The 19,810-nt window shown below is 33.8% G+C and overlaps 1 protein-coding gene and 1 pseudogene across 12 annotated transcripts in view; both read right to left on the bottom strand.

Annotated features, from left to right (window-relative positions):
* The window catches only part of WDR17 (WD repeat domain 17), a 116,975-nt gene that overhangs the window by 76,302 nt on the left and 20,863 nt on the right, over positions 1–19,810 (bottom strand). For 5 of the 12 annotated variants that reach the window (NM_170710.5, NM_001378103.1, XM_047449569.1 and 2 more), the window contains exon 2: positions 9,929–10,051. The exons of 6 other annotated variants lie outside the window; for them this stretch is intronic. In NM_170710.5, coding sequence (NP_733828.2) covers positions 9,929–9,994 — 66 coding nt within the window. In that variant the 5' untranslated portion in view covers positions 9,995–10,051. Of the gene's footprint in view, positions 1–9,928; positions 10,150–19,810 lie in introns of those variants that run through there. One more of the 12 variants, XM_024453885.2, reaches the window with a different exon arrangement.
* LOC124900182 (uncharacterized) lies at positions 8,229–8,351 on the bottom strand (annotated as a pseudogene).

Raw genomic sequence — 19,810 nt, 5'->3', positions numbered from 1 at the left:
AAGATATTGGTCTTAACATTAAGTGTCTTTGATCCATTTTAATTTTTTTATATGGTGTTAGGTAAGAGTCCAATTTCATTCTTTTGCATGTGGATATTTCGTTTTCCCAGCACCATATGTTAAGACTGGCCTTTCTGCATTGAATGGTATTGCCACTCTTGGCAAAAGATATTTGGCCATATATGTAAGGGGTTAGTTCTGAAGTCTCTATTTTATATTTATATATAAATTTATATATATTTGCAGGATAAAATATTATATTCCACTGGTCTATATAACTGCCTTTATGCTGGTATGACACTGTTTTGATTACTGTAGTATTGCAACAAGTTTTGAAATCAGAAAATGCGAGTCCCCCAGTTTTGTTATTCAGGGTCTCTTGAGTTTCTATATCAATTTTAGCATGGCTTTTTAAAATTGTTGCATTTGCCCATTTCATCTAGGTTATTGAATTAGTTGGTGTACAATTGTTCCTACTACTATCTTATAACGTTTTTAATTTCTTTATAATCTGTAGAGATGTTCCAACTTTTATTTGTGATTTTAATAATTTGAGTCTTCTCTCTTTTTCTTAGTTTATCCAGCTACAGGTTTGACAATTTCGTTGATCTTTTTCTCTATTTTTTTTTCTATTCTCTACTTCATTTATCTCTGCTTAGATATTATATCCTTCATTCTAGTTTTGGGTTTAGTTTATTCTTTTGTTAGTTCCTTAAGTTGTAAAAATAGGTTGCTAATTTGAGATCCTATAAATGCTTTAATGAAAGCATTTATAGCTACAAATTTGCCCCCTGGCATTGATTCCACTGCATCCCATAAGTTTTGGTATGTTGTGCTTTTGTTTTCACTCATCTCTAAGAGTTTTCTACTTTCCCTTGTGATTTCTTCTTTCATCCATTGGTTGTTGGAGAGTGTGTTAAGTTCCACAAATTTGCGAATTTTTCAGTTTTCTTTCTGTTATTGATTTCTAACTTTATCCCACAGTGTTCAGAGAAGACATAATGTATGATAACTACTTTTTAAAATCTATTGAGGCTTAATACTTGGCCAAACATATTGTCTATCCTAGAAAACATCCCATGTGCACTTAAGAAGAATGTGTATGCAGTTACTGAGTAGGGTGTTCTGTATATGTCTGTTAGATCTAATTGGATTAATATATTGTTTGAGTCCTCAGTTTCCTTACTTATTTTCTGTCTGATGTATTCATTATTGAGAATGGGGTATTGAATTATCCAACTATTATTGTAGAACTATCTATCCCTTCAATTCAGTTAGTTTTTGCTTCATATATTTTGATGGTGTTTTTTAGGTGTATAAATGTTATAACTTATATTTTGCTGCATTGAAACTTTATTAATATATAGTGTCCTTCTTTGACTTTTCTGAACTTTTTTGACTAAAAATCAATTTCATCTAATATTAATATAGGGCATGCCTGCTTTCTTTTTGCTACTCTGTGCATGGAAAAAATTTTTTTCATCCTTTTACTTTCAATCTATTTGTGTCTTTGGATCTCAAGTGAATCAACTGTAGACGGCATACAGATGGATCTTTTTTTAAATTAATTCTGCCAATCTCTTTTGTTTGAAGAGCTTAATATCCATTTACATTTACAATAATTCCTGATAAAGGACTTACTTCTGTCATTTTGCTATTCATTTCCAATATGCTTCATAGTTTTTTTGTCCTCATTTCCTGCAACGCTTTTGTCTTTTGTGTTTAGTTAATTTTTGCAGTGAAACTTTGAATTCCTTTCTCATTTTCTTCTGTGTATATCCTATAGCTATTTTATTTGTGGCTACCATGGGGATTAAACTTAACATGCTAAAGTTACAAGACTCTAATTTAACTTTATTCCAAATTAGCTTCAATTACATACAAAACCTCAGCTTCTTTAAAACTCCAACCCCACACCTTTAAGTTGTTGATGTCAAAAAATTACATCTTTATATATTGTGTGGCCTGAAACACAAACTAATTAATTATTTTAAATACATTAGTTTTTTAAATTAAGAGAAAATAAAATGTGGAATCACCAACCAAAGTTACAATAATACTACTTGTATACTAAGAATTTTTAAAATATTTTATTCTCTTAAATGATGATGAAAACAAACAATAGCATTGTTTCCAAATACTAGCACTTATAATTGTCCATGTATTTACCTTTATCAAGATCTTTATTTTTTCATATGGCTTTGAGTTACTGTCTAGTGTCATTTCATTTCACCCTGCAGAACTTCCTTGAGCATTTCTTCCAAAGCAGGTTTAAAGATAATGAACTCCCTCAGTTTTTGTTTACTGGGAAATGTATTAATTTCTCCCTCACTTCTGAAAGACAGTTTTGCAGGATAAAAGATATTTGGTTGACATTCTTTTTTTCTTTTAGCACTTTAAATATATTGGCCCATTTCCTTCCAGTCTCTAAAGTTTCATATCAGAAATCTGCTGTTTATACTATTGAGGATCCCTGTATGTATGTGTTAATCACTTCTTTCTTACTAATTTCAAGATTCACTCTGCTTTTCAAGATTTGATTATGATGTGTCTCCATGTGTGTCTATTTCAGTTCAAATTCTTGGAGCTTGCTGAAACTCTTGGAAATTTACTTCATGTTTTTCATCAAATTTGAGGAGTTTTCTGCCATTATTCCTTCAAATATTCTCTCTTCTCTTCCATCTCTCTCTCTTCTCTTCTGGTACTCCCACATGAGTGCATATTGGTGGGCTTCATAGTGTCCCTTATGTCCCTTCGGTTTTGCTTACTTCTCTTCAATTTCTTTCTGTTCCTCAGACTCAATATTTTCTATTGTCTTATCTTCATATTTGCTAATATTTTCTTCTTAAATATGTCTTTGAATTCTTCTATTTTACTTGTTATTATATTTTTCAGCCCTACAATTCTTTTTTTGGTTTTCTATCTCTATTATTTCTATTTTGTTCATACATTGTTTTCTTGACTTTCTCCATATCTCCTTTAGTTTTTAAGCATCCCAAGACAGTTGTTTTAAAGTCTTTGTCTAGTAGATCTTTCATCAGGTCTTTTTCAGAAAGCATCTGTTTATTTTTTTTTCCACTGAAAGAAACATAATTTTCTGTTTCTTTTTAGGCCTTGTGGCTTTTTGTTGAACCCTGGACACTTGAATCTAGTAATATGGTAACTCTGGAAATCAGAGTTTGCTGTTTTTGTTTTTATTTATTGTTTTTGTTTTCAATTGTTGTGGGCTGTCTGTGTCAAGGATCATCCTCAGGTATAAACATAAGGACTACTCAGGGTTATTCTGAACCTGTGTCCTCTGTTCATGCATAGTAACTTCCTAATTTTCTTTGTATAGGCAGTTGCTTTTGAATTGCATAGGCTTTAATGGATGGCTCCCAAAAGGGTAAAAAGAAAAAAATTAAGGGATTCAGCCCTTTAAGTCCCCTTGAAATTGCTTCAGCTGGAGGGGGAGGAGCTTGTAACATGGAGGTAGGTGCAATAACAATGGCTGCCTGCCTCTTTGTCTGCACTTCTGTGATCAGAAGCAGTAGATCACTGATATATAAAGGACAGAGTGCTTTTTTTTCTACCCTGGTTCACATAAGCTGCTTGCAAGATACTTCTGGGATACATGCTCACTTGTCTGCCCTGGGGCTTGAGGTGAGGGATGAGTAGCTGCCACTGTGCTGAGAACTAAAGCTTACTAACTTCAACTTATCATCCAAGCCTTCCCCTGGAAGTTGCAAGCCTTCATAGATTCTGGTATTACAAAATAATTACATCAGACAGACTGTACCAGTGCAATTGTTGTCTAGGTGGGGAGAGAGATTTCTAGTGCCTTTCATGGCTTAATGGCTCATTGCTTTTTAGTGCAGAATAATACTATTTATCTAGATGTAGCACAGTTTATTTATCCACCAGTCTACTGAAGGACATACTTGTTGCTTCTGTGTTTTAGCAATTATGCTTAAAGCTGCTATAAACATCCATGTGCTGCTTTTTGTGTGGACACAGCTGTTTAATTCATTTAGATAAATACCAAGGAACACAACTGCTGGATAATATAGTAAGAATATGTTTAGCTTTGTAAGAACCCATCAAACTGTCTTCCATAAGATCTGTGTCATTTTGTATTCCCATCAGAAATGAGAGTTCCTGTTGCTCCACATCCTTGCCAGCATCTGGTGTTTGGATATTAGCCATTCTAATAGATGTGTAGTGGTATCTAATTGATTTAATTTGCAATTCCCAAAGACAAATGATGTTGAACATTTTTTCACATGCTCACTTGTCATGAATATACATTCTTTGGTGAGGTATCTGTTCAGCTCTTTTGCCCACTTTAAAACCAGGTTGTTCAATCTTCTAGTTACTGAGTTATATAAATTATTTGTATATTTTGGATAACAGATCTTTAGCAGATGTGCAAATATTTTCTTCCATTCTGTGGCTTGCCTTCTTATTCTGTTTGATATTGTAAAAATTGAAGATTTTCATTTTAATAAAGTCCAGCTTATCAATTATTTTTCATAAAACATACCTTTTGTATCTAAAAAGTGCTAGCCAAACCCACAGTCATCCAGGTTTTCTCTTATGTTACCTTCTATGAGTTTTACAGTTTTGCATTTTACATGTAGTTCTATGCCGCATTTTGGGTTAATTTTTGTAAAATATATAAGGCCTGTGTCTAGATTCTTTTTTTTTAACATTGTATATCCAGTTATTCCAGCCTCATTTGTTGAAAAGACTATCTTTGTTTCACTGTATCGCCTTTGCTCCTTTATCAAATATCAGTTGAGTATATTTATGTGGATCTATTTCTAAGCCCTCTATTCTGTTCCATTGATCTATCTGTCTATCCTTTTGCAGATACCATGGCTGTCTTTTTTATTGGAGCTATATAGTAAGTCTTTAAGTTGGGTAGTGTTAGTTATCCCACTTTGTTCTCCTTCAATCCATTCCTGCATGTTGTCTACTTTTACCATTAAAGCTATTAGCAAATTAATTGTAGTTTTTTAAATTCCTTGTCTGATAATACCAACATTTCTGTCGTATCTGACTCTGGTTCTGATGCTTTATCTGTCTCTTCAAACTGTATTTTTTTGCCTTTTGTTTATCATGTAAATGTTTGTGAGGTGCACATGATGAACTACATAAAAGAAAGTGCTGTAAATAGGCCTTTAGTAATGTAGTGGTAAGATATGGGGGTAGAGTGAGCATTCTAAAGTCCTATGATTAGGTCTCAGTCACGTGCCCATGACCAGTGCTTCTCAGTACCCCCAGCCCTGCTTAGGTGGGACAGGATGGCTGAAGGGGGCTGATGTTGGGTATTTTCCTTCTCCCAGGTAGGTAAGGCTCTTCTAAAACCCCAGAGTTACGCTCTGGACAAATAGGTTCTCTTGAGGGTAGGTTTTAAGAACAGAATGCCACGATCCTAAAATTCATATAGAACCAAACAAGAGCACAAATAGCCAATGCAATCCAAAACCAAAGGAATAAAACTGGAGGCAATGCATTACTTGACTTCAAATTATATTACAAGACTATGGTAACCAAAATAGCATGGTACTGGTATAAAAAATAGACATATAGATCAATGGAAGAGAATAGAGATCCCAGAAATAAAGCCACATATCTACAGTGAATTGATCTTTAACAAGGCCAACAAGAACACAGAGTGAGGAAAGGATACCCTTTTCAATAAATAGTGCTGGAAAAATTAGACATCCATATACAGGAGAATAAAACTAGACCCATAGCTATCACCATATTAAAAAAAACAATTCAAGATGTACTAAACACTTAAATGCAAGATCAGAAACTATAAAAATACTAGAAGAAAACCTAGGGGAAACTCTTATGGACATTCATCTAGGCAAGGTATGTATACTATGACCTCAAAAGCACAGGCAGCAAAAACAAAAATAGATAAATGGGACTTAATTAAACTAAAGAGCTCCTGCACAACCAAAGAAATAATCAACAGAGAGAACACACAACCTGCAGAATAGGAGAAATATCTGCAAACTATTCATCCAACAGGGGACTAATATCCAGAATATACAAAGAAACCAAACAACTCAATGACAACAAAAATACAAATAATCCCATTAAAAAGTGGGCAAAGGACATGAGTAGACATTTTTCTAAAGAAGACATACAAATGGCCAAGAGGTATATGAAAAAATGCTCAACATCACTGATCATCAGAGAAATGCAAATTAAAACTACAATGAGATATAATCTTCCACCACTCAGAGTGCCTATTACTAAAAAGACAGAAATAATAGATGTTGGTGAGGATATGGGGAAAAGAGAATTCATACACTGTTGGTGGGAATGAAAATTAATACACCTTTTATGGAAAACAGTATGGAGATTTCACAAATAACTAAAATTAGAGCTATTATATGATCCAGTAATCCTACTACTGTGTATCTACCCAAAAGGAAATAGATCATTATAGCAAAAAGATACCTGCACTCATATGTTTATTGCAGCACTATTTGCAATAGCAAAGCTATAGAATCAACTTAAGTGTCTATCAACAGATGATCAGATAATGAAAATGTGGTATATATACACAGTGGAATACTATTCAGCCATTAAAAATCATGTATTTTGCAGCAACATGCATGCAGCTGGAGGTCATTATCTTAAGTGAAACAAGCCATGCACAGAGAGTCACATATCACATGTTCCCATTCATAACTGGGTAGTAAAAAAAATGTGTACACATGGACACAAAAGTGGAATGTTAGACAAGGGAGACTCCAAAGTGTGAAGGAGTGGGAGGGGGTGGATGATGAGAAATTACTGAATGGTACAATGTACATTATTCAGGTGATGGATACCCTAAAAGCCCTGATTTGATCACTGTGCAATCTATGCATGTAACAAAATTGTACTTGTACTCCATAATTTTATATAAATTATTTTAAAAGTTGGTTAAAAATAAAGAACAGAATGCTCTAGTGTAATTTAAGTGGTTTCTTTTCCCCTCCCCCTGCTGGAAGCAAGAGGATATTCTTCTCTAATATGCACTGTGAGCACCAGTTTAGAGCTCCTGGAAGTAAAACTTACAAAAGCTCCCCCGCCACCCCCATTACTGGGTTCCCGTGAAGTTTTTAACCCTCAGACCTGACCATATTGTGCTTCCATCAATTTATCAGTTACAGTTCAGATTTTCTTACTCTGGCAGTGATGCCCAGGTTAGTTTCTGCTAATTCATTTCTGCTCTGGTAAGTTGCAATTCTCTGTAACTGCATTTCTATCTCAATAATTTTGAGGGCAGTGATTTGCCTTGTGCCCTTACTTCTCAGGTGGATCTAGGAAGAGTTGTTGAGTTTTCAATGCGTTCAATTTTTTATTGGCTAAAATGGAGTAGCAACTTCTAAGCTGCTTACATACTGAACTAGAAACCAGCAGTTTCTCTGCTTATTTATTAAAAACAAAAATAAACTTCTAAATTTATGCCAATACATTTTGACTTTAACTCAGAGTATATCTTGATTTATTATTTTTTAGTTTCCAAAATTAGATAATATAAGCATTTCTATGTTGACATAAAATTTGGTGTACCTTTGTTCTTAAATAGCTTTTACAGGTCTTACAAACCAACACTTAAATCCTTTTAAAATTCAGAGTCAAATAACTTGCTAAACCAGATATTAAAATAATAATTAGGACAAAATAAAATAGCTATTTCAAAAAAAATAGATATTTTTTAAAATCTATGATTCTAAATAAAAGATAAAAAGCATATCATACATTATTGAATATATATTATTACATTTAAAATCTGAATTACATATTCAAACAAAGTCTAATATGTGAATTTCTAAATTATTTTTGCAAAAGGACTAAAAAAGATATGTAATAATTATTCAGTCTTCATTAAATTGTATCTACAGTTGCCAAGGAGATGAAACAAAATGTCCAGAACCTTTTGTTATCTTTGTAGTCAGCATGAATTGTTACTCAATTCATGATTCTGCATTACTAAAAACAGAAAACAGTCCACTGAAGGTCCATTTCAAAATATATATCTATATTTTAAATATAAATCCTACAAAATATGTCACATATAAAGGTAAAGAAACATATTTAATTATGACAGGTAATATACTGCAGATAAATGTTTTACAAAGCCTTTATTATCCTTACTTTAGAATGTTTCATTAATATGTGAACCACTCAAGAATTTTCATGTCTACTTCAAAGATTTGTTGCTTCAGAAAATACAGTCTTTTTGGCCCAGGAACAACACACTTCAGTTGGGCTGAAGTGCATATGGGGTAGATTTATTCTACCTTCTCATTCTATACAGTCAGTGTAAGAACACAGCCTGTGGTAAGCACCAGGAGGGCATAAGTTGGATTTTTGAAAGAAATTAAGGTCAATATTCATGTGCCAATTTTTTTTCATTCAGAATAGGATCTTTCATTTTCATCTACACATGTATGAGAGCTGGTCAATACTTAAGCCGGAAGGAGCTCAAACTCACAGTAATATAGTAATTTTAGGGTCAATCTATTTCTATATTTTAACAACAGCTACACTTTTAGTATGTTTCAAAACCAGGCATTCATTTATAAAGGCCCATAGTAGTATAAAGGGCAAGAAGAGGAAGATTTTGAATTCTCATAATCTCCATGAGCTTCTCCAAAGTCATTTTAAAGGAAACACATTTCATTAAAAAGCATTTTTCTTAAAATCAGTTCCCATTCCTGCACACAATACAAACAAGGATATTGGCATTGTGTGTGTGTGTGTGTGTGTGTGTGTGTATGTGTGTGTGTGTGTGTGTGTAAGTGGGGCTTGAAGTATTACTATTAAACTCATAAGCTGAAATATTTCCATCATTTATACCTGAAATTGAAACTCAGGATGGAAAACTGCTCATTAACTCTCAACTCCTTTTCTGAAGAATGCTTTAGGATTTACAATATGAGTATTATTCTTCAGAGTTAGATATTTACTGGCTCCAGAGATGTTTACTGGATTTTTTCACAGCTTACAAAAAAAGTATCTGAAAAAAAAGTCCAAAAGGCTTTAAACTGTTGAGGATTTATAATTAAAAAGAAGTAATACTGAGAAAATATCTGTAATTAATGTGCTTAGGATGGGAATCTCAAGAAAAAGAAAGAAAAATAAAGTACTGTATATCATTGGCAGCCTATGCCCTTGAACAACAGTGGTGAAAAATCTAGTAAAACTGCACATAGTCTGGTTTTTTTGTCCCACTAATTAATAAAATAAAAATATACAAATTGTCTTCATTTAAATAATCAAGAAATTTAAAAAGTGAAAATAATCGAAGAGAAATCATATATTATTCTAGACTAAATCCATTTGACAAGGTACATTTTAAATAGCATTTTTTTCTATTATTGTAATAATAGGTTAGAATACTATTTTCAAAACACTATGCAAATGTTGCCACACTAACAATGCAGTTTGTTTTCAAACATAATTAATTAACCGCCTAAAAATTTATCAGATGCAACATGGCACTCTTCTTCAGAATTGTTTTCATTTCCTTTTAAAGTATTTGTTTAATAAGTAGTATCAGCATACATTTATCTTCTGTTTCATGAAATGATTTTCTTTATGGGAAAGACTTGCTTGAAATTGTTGCTATTTTCATATATTAATCTCAATATATAAAATATTATTTTATATTTAAAGCCTAAGAGAATTTGAAAACATTAAGAACTCATCTGAAATTAGGATAGAAAAAAATGCCCTTTCTTCTTCACTATATAATTACCCTTATTATATTCTTACTTTTGCTTTAAAACTAGCAAATAAGTGTCTTATTCACGCTCAGAACTTTGCAATGCGAAAATGTCCACGATATAAATGACACAGATATAAAACTATATGAGAAGCAAAGCAGAAAAAAAATCGCAGGAAATCGTAATTACAAGTAAATGTATCTTACTCTTTGTAGTCCTTCATACCAATCATCTTGCTCAAACCAATTTGAAATGTAAGTCATCCAAGCCATAGAATGTTTCTACTTTAATCAAGGCAATTGGAAACTCGGCATCAGAATAGTCAGCACCTAAAGTAACAACAATGTGTTTCAACCAAACAAGATTTACCAAAATCTCCCTTGTGAAATGATGTTCAGTACAAAAGGCTAGAACTGCACAAATATTTCAGCTGAAACAATTTTAATTTTTTACAAGTAAATAAGAAAATAAGAAAGAAATCGACAATAATGTTGGATAGTACCAGAGAATGCTATTATCAAATATTTTATTAACCTTTCTGTTTACATTCTTAAAAAACAATCTTAGATTTAACTTTTATAAGAAACAGGTCAATGATTTCTAAAAGTTACCAAGTTAAAAATAAGGTATCCATAAAAATCACAAAATGGGCAGCAGAAAATGATTTACATTTTCAACCTCAGGAACTGAAGCTTTCTAAGTTAAAAGGTATACAATGACAAAACCAATCCTATATTTCTGTTTGCTTCCAGCCCCATAGTTGACAGTTAAATCATTTTACATTTAAGTTAATTGCTAACCACCTAACCCGTCAAAAAGTTTAAAGACACCATTTAATACAGTGCTAATACGTTCAACAGAGTCAAAACCACATGAATGTAATTTAATTTTAGTTTTACTCATTTTTAGAAGGAAATATTTACTAGCCATGATGAGTAAGATATTTCTTCCTACACTGGAGAATATTTGGACTTCAAAATATCCTCTGTAATGTTTAGATGCTTAACTCAACATACAACAGGTTCTAAGCGATCTTTTCTTCAACAGAGACAAAATGAAGGAAGGACAAAGGGCTGAAGGATGGATGGTAGGAAGCGAGGAAAGAAGGAAGGGAAGAGAAAAAGAGAAAATGAGTAAAATAATGAAAAGGGTATTAAGCAACAAAGGAAACGAAGGAAGGAGGGTAGGGGAGGGGGGAAATTACAATGTTTGTAATTTGAGTGTTTCATTCTTCAATATCCAAAAAGTAAGATAGCTTTTGTTCTGGCATAGGAAGATACACAAGTATGAAATATAATTATCACTGCAGCTACTTGAGAACAGCCTTATCTCTACTGTGATTCCTTACTCTTTAGAAGTATTTTCAATAATATCTGAGTGAAGCCTCAAGTCATAATGCTTCGGAATAGGTTCTTGCTTCTGCAACAAGCTCCAGGACTGGCAAAATCTCTTGCTTAATTTGTTAACATTTCGATGACTTCCTTGAATCTGTTACCTTGGCTATTCTGCCCTGCTCTTCTAGTTTCCACAAAGCCCCTTGTTCCTGCCTATCTGCTCAGGTTTTTAATCGCCTGCCTTATCCTATCCTCTGGATTTGTCCTCTCTTCATTGTTGTCTCTGGCTTATCGTATTTTGAGTTGCAATTCTTTATCTAAGTCCTGCCATCAGCTTTTTTTACCCTACTTTGAACTTTTACCTAGTACTGGCCCAACAACTCTACCAACCTTGTCTCTGCTTCAGTGATTCCAGTGTGTCTCCCATAACACAACCTACAGGCCACACCAAGCTCCTAAACTCCATTTCGAGCTACCTGCTGAATCTAGATCTCTCAGCCCTTTACCTGATAATCTCAATATTAACATATTTAAAACCTAATGTATCTCTTTCAAGTAAGGTTTTCCTTTCTACCACCCCAAATATTCTTTCTCTTACATTCTCCATTTCAATGACTATCATTATATTCTAGATAGTAACCTGAGATGAAAATATCAAATCATCTTTGATTATTCCATCAACCTCATCTCCTCCTACTACCACATTTAATTGCCAAGTCTTATCAAATTACTTTGAAAAAGTCTATTCAGAAGGCCCTTATCTTCATTACTAATGCCACTACTTTTAATGAAACCCTTCACTGTGTCCTGTACAAACTAATGCAATAGTTTACTTACTGTTCTCTGCTTTCAATGTATTTCCGAAATATATGTTGTCCTTCTATGTTTTCAAGGCTTTTTGCCTGGAAGCTTTTAAATGTTTTGCCCAGGCTGCCACTTTCACCTTTTCCTGTGAGTAGTGAGCTCTTGCAAGTTTTTCAAGACTCAAATTAAATGTCTCTTTCTTTTGAAGACTTTCTCAAATCCTCAAATCTCTTGTCTGTGCTCCTTCATATCTATATTTGTAGGTATTAGATAGTGATTATTTGTGTAGATATAAATTGTGAGTTCCCCAAAAGACCAAGCCTTAATCATCTTTGTATAGAAGATACAAAATGTATGTTGAGTGAATTGGCACATGCAGGGCTATGAAAGTTGGTCACCTAGTGACAGTTCACATGAACTGAAGGCATATATTCCTGAAACTTGGAAAAGATCTAAGGAAATGTATCTAAGTAAAATGGGATTACTATCCAATTCCTTGTGGGGAAGCAGCTAAACAAAATCACTTAAGAAATTGTTTTTGGTGTTTTTTTAAGAGTAAAATAAAACTTGAATTAGTAAAAGTACTTTGTCATCATGCCATCACCAAGTTAGTCTTTATTATACTATTATAAGTCCAGTGTAAATAAAATACCGTATTCATAGAGCATATAATAGTTCTTATTTCTTATGTCCTGATACTTATCCATGAGCACTATTTATTATATTTGCAAGGAATAAGAAAAGCAGGATATTTCACATTATGTAATCTCAGATTAAATGTTATCTTGCATAAAAAATACTTTTGTTGTTGTACTCCAGGTATTTTGATTATATGAGAATAGATGGGATCTGGTTCATTTAGTATAAGAATGGTAAATGGGTTTTAACTCTCACCCCTCCCTGGGGTGCAGAGTTGAAACCTTTAGCTGACCTCAGAGGGGAAGCATGTCATGATCACTCAGCAGTAACTGAGGTAAGAAGAAACTTTTGAGGAAATTTATTACACATCTTCGCATCCCTGTATCTATGTCCATGAATCTAATTGATATTTCATTAAAATCACACATTTAACTTATTTTAGTCAGAAAATTCTTATTACCTATTAAAATTAGTGATAGAAATAAATAACAAAAATAAAATATTAAATATCAGTAATTAAAATAAAATAGAAAATGAAGTAAAGTAGTTTTCATTGTCGGAAAACTTATTGCAGGCATTGAATAGTCAAGCACACAAGTACTCTGTGATTTCTCCATTTTTTTCACAAGATGACTTTTGGCTACTCTGGGTCTTTTGTGGTTCCATATAAATTTCAGGACTATTATTTCTATTTCTGTGAAGAATGTCATTGGTATTTTGATGGGGATTGCACTGAATGTGTAGATTGTTTTGGGTAGTACAGACATTTTAACAATACTGATTCTTTCAATCCTTGAACATGGAAGATCTTTCCATTTTGTGTCCTCTTCAGTTTCATCAATGTTTTATAGTTTTCATTATAGACTCTTTCACTTCTTTGGTTAAGTTTATTCCCAAGTATTTTATTTTATTTGTAGCTGTTATTAATGGGACTACATTCTTGATTTCTTTTCTTTTCTTTCTTTTTTATTTTGAGACACAGTTTCACTCTGTCACCCAGGCTGGAGTGTAGTGGCACAATCTGGGCTCACTGCAACCTCCGCCTCCCAGGTTCAAGCGATTCTCATGCCTCAACCACCAAAGTAGCTGGGACCACAGGCATGCGCCACCACACCCGGCTAATTTTTGTATTTTTAGTAGAGACGGCTTTTTGCCATGTTGGCCAGGCTGGTCTTGAACTCCTGACCGCTAGTGATCCACCCACCTCACCCTCCCAAAGTGCTGAGATTACAGACGTGAGCCACCGCATCAAGCCTTGATTTCCTTTTCAGATTGTTCACTGTTGGCATATAGAAATGCTGCTTATTTTTGTATGTTGATTTTGCATTCTGTGACTTTACTGAATTTATCAGTTCTATTTTTTTTGGTAGAGTCTTTAGGTTTTCCTAAATATAAGATCATATCCTCTGCAAACAAGGATAATTTGATTTCTTTTGTTCCAACTTGGATGCCGTTTATCCCTTTCTCCTGTCTGATTGCTCTAGCTAGGATTTCCAAAACTAAGTTGAATAACAATAGTAAAAGGCTTTCAGATTTTTCCCATTCAGTATGTATATAGCTTTTATTGTGTCGTGTTATGTTCCTCCTACACCCACTTTTTTGAAGGTTTTTATCATGAAGGAATGCTGAATTTTCTAAATGCTTTTTCAGCATCAATTGAAATGATCATATGGTTTTTGTCCTTCATCCTGTTGACATGATGTATAATTTGATTTGCATATGTTGAACCATCCTTGCATCCCTGGGATAAACCCCACTTGGTCTTGATGAATGGTCTTTTTTAATATGCTGTTGAATTCAGTCTGCTAGTATTTTGCTGAATATTTTTGCATCAATATTCATCGGAAACACTGGCCTTTAATTTTCTTTTTTTGTTGGGTCTTTGTCTGGTTTTGGTATTAGGGTAATACTGGCCTCAAAGAATGGGTTTGGAAGTATTCTTTCCTCCTCTATTTTATAGAATAATTTGAGGAAATTTGGTACTGGTTTTTCTTTAAATGTTTGGTAAAATTCAGCAGTAAAGCCATTGTGCCCTGAATTTTCCTGATGGGAGACTTTTTATTATCGTTTTGATATCATTACTTGCTATTGGTCTATTCAGGTTTTGGATTTCTTCATGGTTCAGTCTTTGTAGGTTGCGTGTCCTTTTAGGTTTTCTAATTTATTGACATGTAATTGCTAATAGTATTTTCAATGAACCTTTGAATTTCTGTAGTATCAGTTGTAATATCTCTTTTTTCATCTCTGAATTTATTTAGGTCTTTTTTATTATTAGTCTGGCTTACAGTTTGTTGATTTTATTTATCTTTTCTGAAAACCAACTTTTCACTTCATTGATCTTTTGTATTTGTTTCAATTTCATTTATTTCTGCTCTGATATGTATTACTTCTTCTACTAATTCTGGGTTTGGTTTGCTCTTGCTTTTATAGTTCTTTAAGATGCATCATTAGTTTGTTTATTTCAAGTTTTTCCACTTTTTTGATGTAGGCATTTATTGCTGTAAATGTTTCTCTTAATACTGCTTTTGATATATCCCACAGGTTTTGGTATGTTGTGTTTCCATTTTCATTTGCCTCAAAAAATTTTCAATTTCTTTAATTTATCCATTAACCCACCAGTCATTCAGGAGCATATTGTTTAATATCCATGTGTTTGTATAGTTTCCAAAGTTTCTCTTGTTACTAATTTCTAGTTTTATTCCATTGTGACCAGAAAAGATATTTCATATGATTTCAACTCTTTTGAATTTTTTAAGACATTTTGTGACCTAACATATGGTCTCCTCTTATAAATGATGCATGTGTTGGGGAGAAAAATGTGTATTCTGCAGCTGTTGGATAAAATGTTCTGTAAATATCTATTAGGTTGCTGAGGATAGGCACCCAAATCTGGCCATAAACTAGCCCCAAAACTGGCCATAAACAAAATCTCTGCAGCACCGTGACATGCTTGTGATGGCCATGATGCCCACGCTGGGAGGTTGTTGGCTTACCAGAATGAGGGCAAGGAACACCTGGCCCACCCAGGGTGGAAAACCACTTAAGGCGTTCTTAAGCCACAAACAACAGCATGAGCAATCTGTACCTTAAGGACATGCTCCTGCTGCAGATAACTAGCCAGAGCCCATCCCTTTATTTCAGCCCATCCCTTTGTTTCCTGTAAGGAATACTTTTAGTTAATCTATAATCTATAGAAACAATGCTTATCATGGGCTTGCTGTCAATAAATATGTGGGTAAATCTCTGTTCGAGGCTCTCAGCTCTGAAGGCTGTGAGACTCCTAATTTCCCACTCCATACTCTATATTTCTGTGTGTGTCTTTAATTCCTCTAGCACCACTAGGGTCTCCCTGACCAAGCTGGTCTTGGCATTGGGTGATAATGATGTCCTTTCAGTGAGGACCATATGGGCCTATATCTTAATAATAAGGAAGAAATGGAAATAGACCATTTCTCACAAAGCCTGAGGCTCAACTTAAGTAAATTCATTTAATGACTAGAATAATGTGACCTGTCTGTCTTCATCTGTTTGTCTTGCTATAAGGCTGGGTAATTTATAAAGAAAAGAGGTTTTATTTGGCTCATGGTTCTACAGGCTATACAGGAAGCATGACACCAGAATTTGCATCTGGTTAGGGCCTCAGATTACTTCCACTGATTGCAGAGGGGAAGAGGAGCTGGTGTGCGCAGAGATGACGTGGAAAGAGAGAGGGAGCAAGAAAAGAGGAAGGAAATGCCAGGCTTTTTTTTTTTTTTTTTAAAACAACCAGCTCTAGTAGGAACTAATAGAGCAAGAATTTGCTCATTACTGCAAGGATGACACCAAACAATTCATGAGGGATCTGCCTCCATGATCCAAACACCTCACTATACCCTAACTGCAACATGGGGGATCAAATCTCAACATGGATTTTTCAGGGATAAACATCCAATCTATAGCACTGCCCTACTCTAATATCCTCCATAAGCAAAAGTATATTCTCTCTGGAGGAAGATAACATTAAATTATCAGTATTTAATAAAATAATGACCAGGCAGGCAAAAATACAGAAATTCCGAGTTATGCTTGTTTCCACTTATACATAAATGGAACACCTTCATTTCCAGGAACAATGGAGAAGGAGTAAAAGCAAACCTCATTTGTCTCTGAGGAGGGATAGAAAACTCTCCTTTCTGACCCTAGGAACCAGGGAAAAATCACCAGTTCTAGGAAAAGGGAAGAAGCAAAAGCTGTCATACCCTAGGGAGCAGGCTGGGAAAAATCTTAGTCCCCAGTTCTGTCCAAAAACAAGACATAGATCTGCCACTGTTTGAGGAAATGCAAAAAAAGCTCTCTCACTCAACACTCATATATACTACACTCGGCACTCATACATGCAACACTCAGCACTCATATATACAGCACTCAGCACTCATACATACAACACTCGGCACTCATACATGCAAACACTCAGCACTCATACATACAACACTTGGCACTCATACATGCAAAGCAGAGACTGGCTGCCACAGAAAGGGGTTTAGGGGTATAGGAGAGACCCACAAATCTTTGCTAAGAACCAGACTCTGATAAACTGGGGATCAAAATTGTAGTATAATACTACATTAGGGTACTATAAAATAATTAGAATGAACTATGATAATCAAAAGTCAAACATAAAAGGATACATATTGCATGATTCCATTTATAGTAAGTTAAAATAAGCAAAATTAATTCTGTGTTATTAGAAGTTGTGAAAGAGTTTTGGGGAGGGGGAACAGAAACTGTAACTAAAAGAAGCCCTGAGGGAGTACGTTTATTTTATGCTAATTATGCTAATGAGTACATTTTGCTGCTATAAAACATTAGATTACAATTTCTGCTTTCAGGTACGTAATCTAAATAAAAAGAAATTACATACTAAAAATCCACAGCAGTGCTTTCTAATATTAACAAAATTAAAAGGGGAAAATGCAGAAATTAACATGTCCACATAGAGATACAGTGTAATTAGATTATGTTTTCTAACTTCACTTGGGCAATTTCATTTCTCCTTTTCACTTTTCCATTAGTTTTCTGTCTACCAACCCCAACCATCAATATTTCAGGACACAGCAACTTAAATCTATCTCTGGGATATAGTACAAATTCTTCTCTAATCCACAAGTATTGTTAGAAGCAATGTCAGGGACAAGCAGATGAAGAAGGCAGAAACAAAAAATAAATAATCCCCATCATGGGACAGGAATGAAAACAGAAGTCTTTCTAAATAAGCTGAAGATGGATTAGATCAAGGAAATGTGTTTGGGATCCAAAGAAATACCAACAGGAAATGTATTGACTTTGCCATAATCATCTCAGCCTGTTCATGCCACATCTATAGCAGGTCCTCTACGTCCTTAATTCTTACCATTACCACAGAAAATGTGTACTTGAGCAGATCGCCACTATCATGTTCTGAAAGGCCTGAAGAAATCTACATAGAAAAATATTTCTGATTCAGTATTTCATACTTTGATCAGACATTCCAAGCTCACCCTTTAACAACAAGAAAAAATAGTGCAGCTGACAACACTCTCCAATTATTAGTGATTCCAGTTTGAAATTTTTTTTTAAAGAGATAGGGTCTCACTATGTTGCCCAGACTGGCCTCAAAGTTTTGGGCTCAAGCAGTCCTCCCACTTCAGTCACTAAGTAGCTGGGATTACAAGCATTCATCACAGTACCCTCCTGGCTGAGTTTGAAGTTTTTAGTGACAAAGTATATACTGTGCTTCTCTTTAGTTTAGGTCATATACTATCTTTAATGTGCAGTAACAAATAAAGTAAAATAGTTGAAAAAGGAAGTATTTTTACCAGATAATTGGAATATATAAAAATATATAAAAATAAAGGCCAGGGATGGTGGCTCACGCCTGTAATCGCAGCACTTTGGGAAGCCAAGGAGGGCAGATCACTTGAGGCCAAGAGTTTGAGACCAGATTGGCCAACATGGTGAAAACCTGTCTCTACTAAAAATATAAAAATTAGCCAGGTATAGTGGTACACACCTGTAGTCCCAGCTACTCAGAAGGCCGAGGCACAAGAATTGCTTGAACCTGGGGGGCAAAGGTTGCAGTGAGCCGAGATCGCGCCACTGCAATCCAGCCTGGGTGACACAGATTCTGGCTCAAAAAAAAAAATTAATTGATTAAAATAAAAATAAAATGAATATTACACTCTAAAACTGAAAAACACAATGGCTGAAATTTATATCTCAATGGATGAGTTTATTAGTTGATTGGATATCCCAAAAGTCACTATTAGTTCAGTGGAACATAAATAAATGGTATAGGCCAAAATCAATGCATAGAGAAAAAGAGAAATAGAACAAAGCATAAGAGACAGATAAGGTATGCTGAAAAGTTAAACATGTATGTAAGAGTAGTATAAGAAGGAGAGGAAAGGGATAATATAGTGAAACCAAAGAGAGATAAAGAATGAGAAATTTCTGAAACTGATTTTAAAACTAAGATTTCTGAAGCTACCAAGCTCCAAGCAGGGTAAGTTAAAGCGATACCTTATCTATGCACATCACACTAAAATGCCAGAAACCACAAAAAGAAAATATTAAATCTTAAAAATGGTCATGTTACAGTCAAAGATCAACAGAAATAATGGAAGTGAGAATGCAAAGAAATTACATTTTAAAGTGCTGAGAAAAAGATAACTAAAAATTCAGTAAACATATTATTTAAAAATGGAAGAATATGAACGTTTTCATTGTAAGTTTTCATACAAACAAAACCTAGTAAATTCATTGCTAGTAGACCCATTCTAGAAAAAAAAATATAAGGGATTTCTTTAGGTAGAAGGATAAGAAACATGAAAATGTTAGAAATATTGAAGATCATCAGAAAGGGAAAATATGTAGTTAAATATAAATAAATATTAACTATACAAAATGATCATTGTAATGTCTTATGAAATTTAAAATATTTGTAGCACTAAATTATATGAAAACAGTAACACAAAAGACAGCAGGATAAATGGAGTTAGTATTAGTATTAAAGAAGAGGTAAAAGTAATCATTTGTATTAAACCATAATGAGTCAAATTTACATGCCGGAATCTCCAGGGTAATTATAAAAAGGAACAGTAAATAAACATACTATCAGCAAGTTAATTGAAGGAAAGTGTAATTAATTAAAAATTGTAAATCAGAAAACAAAAACTGTAAATAAGAAAAAGTTTGTATATATAAATAAAATTATAACAGTTACATATTGAATAAGAGAAAATAAAATTACAAATCAAAATAAAATTAGCATCTACATTAAAAAATTCAGCTCTT

Source organism: Homo sapiens, chromosome 4 (assembly GCF_000001405.40).
Source record: "Homo sapiens chromosome 4, GRCh38.p14 Primary Assembly".
NCBI classification, from domain to species: Eukaryota; Metazoa; Chordata; class Mammalia; order Primates; family Hominidae; genus Homo; species Homo sapiens.
Note: the sequence above shows the minus strand (reverse complement) of the source record. Positions and strands in the feature narration are given on the sequence as shown.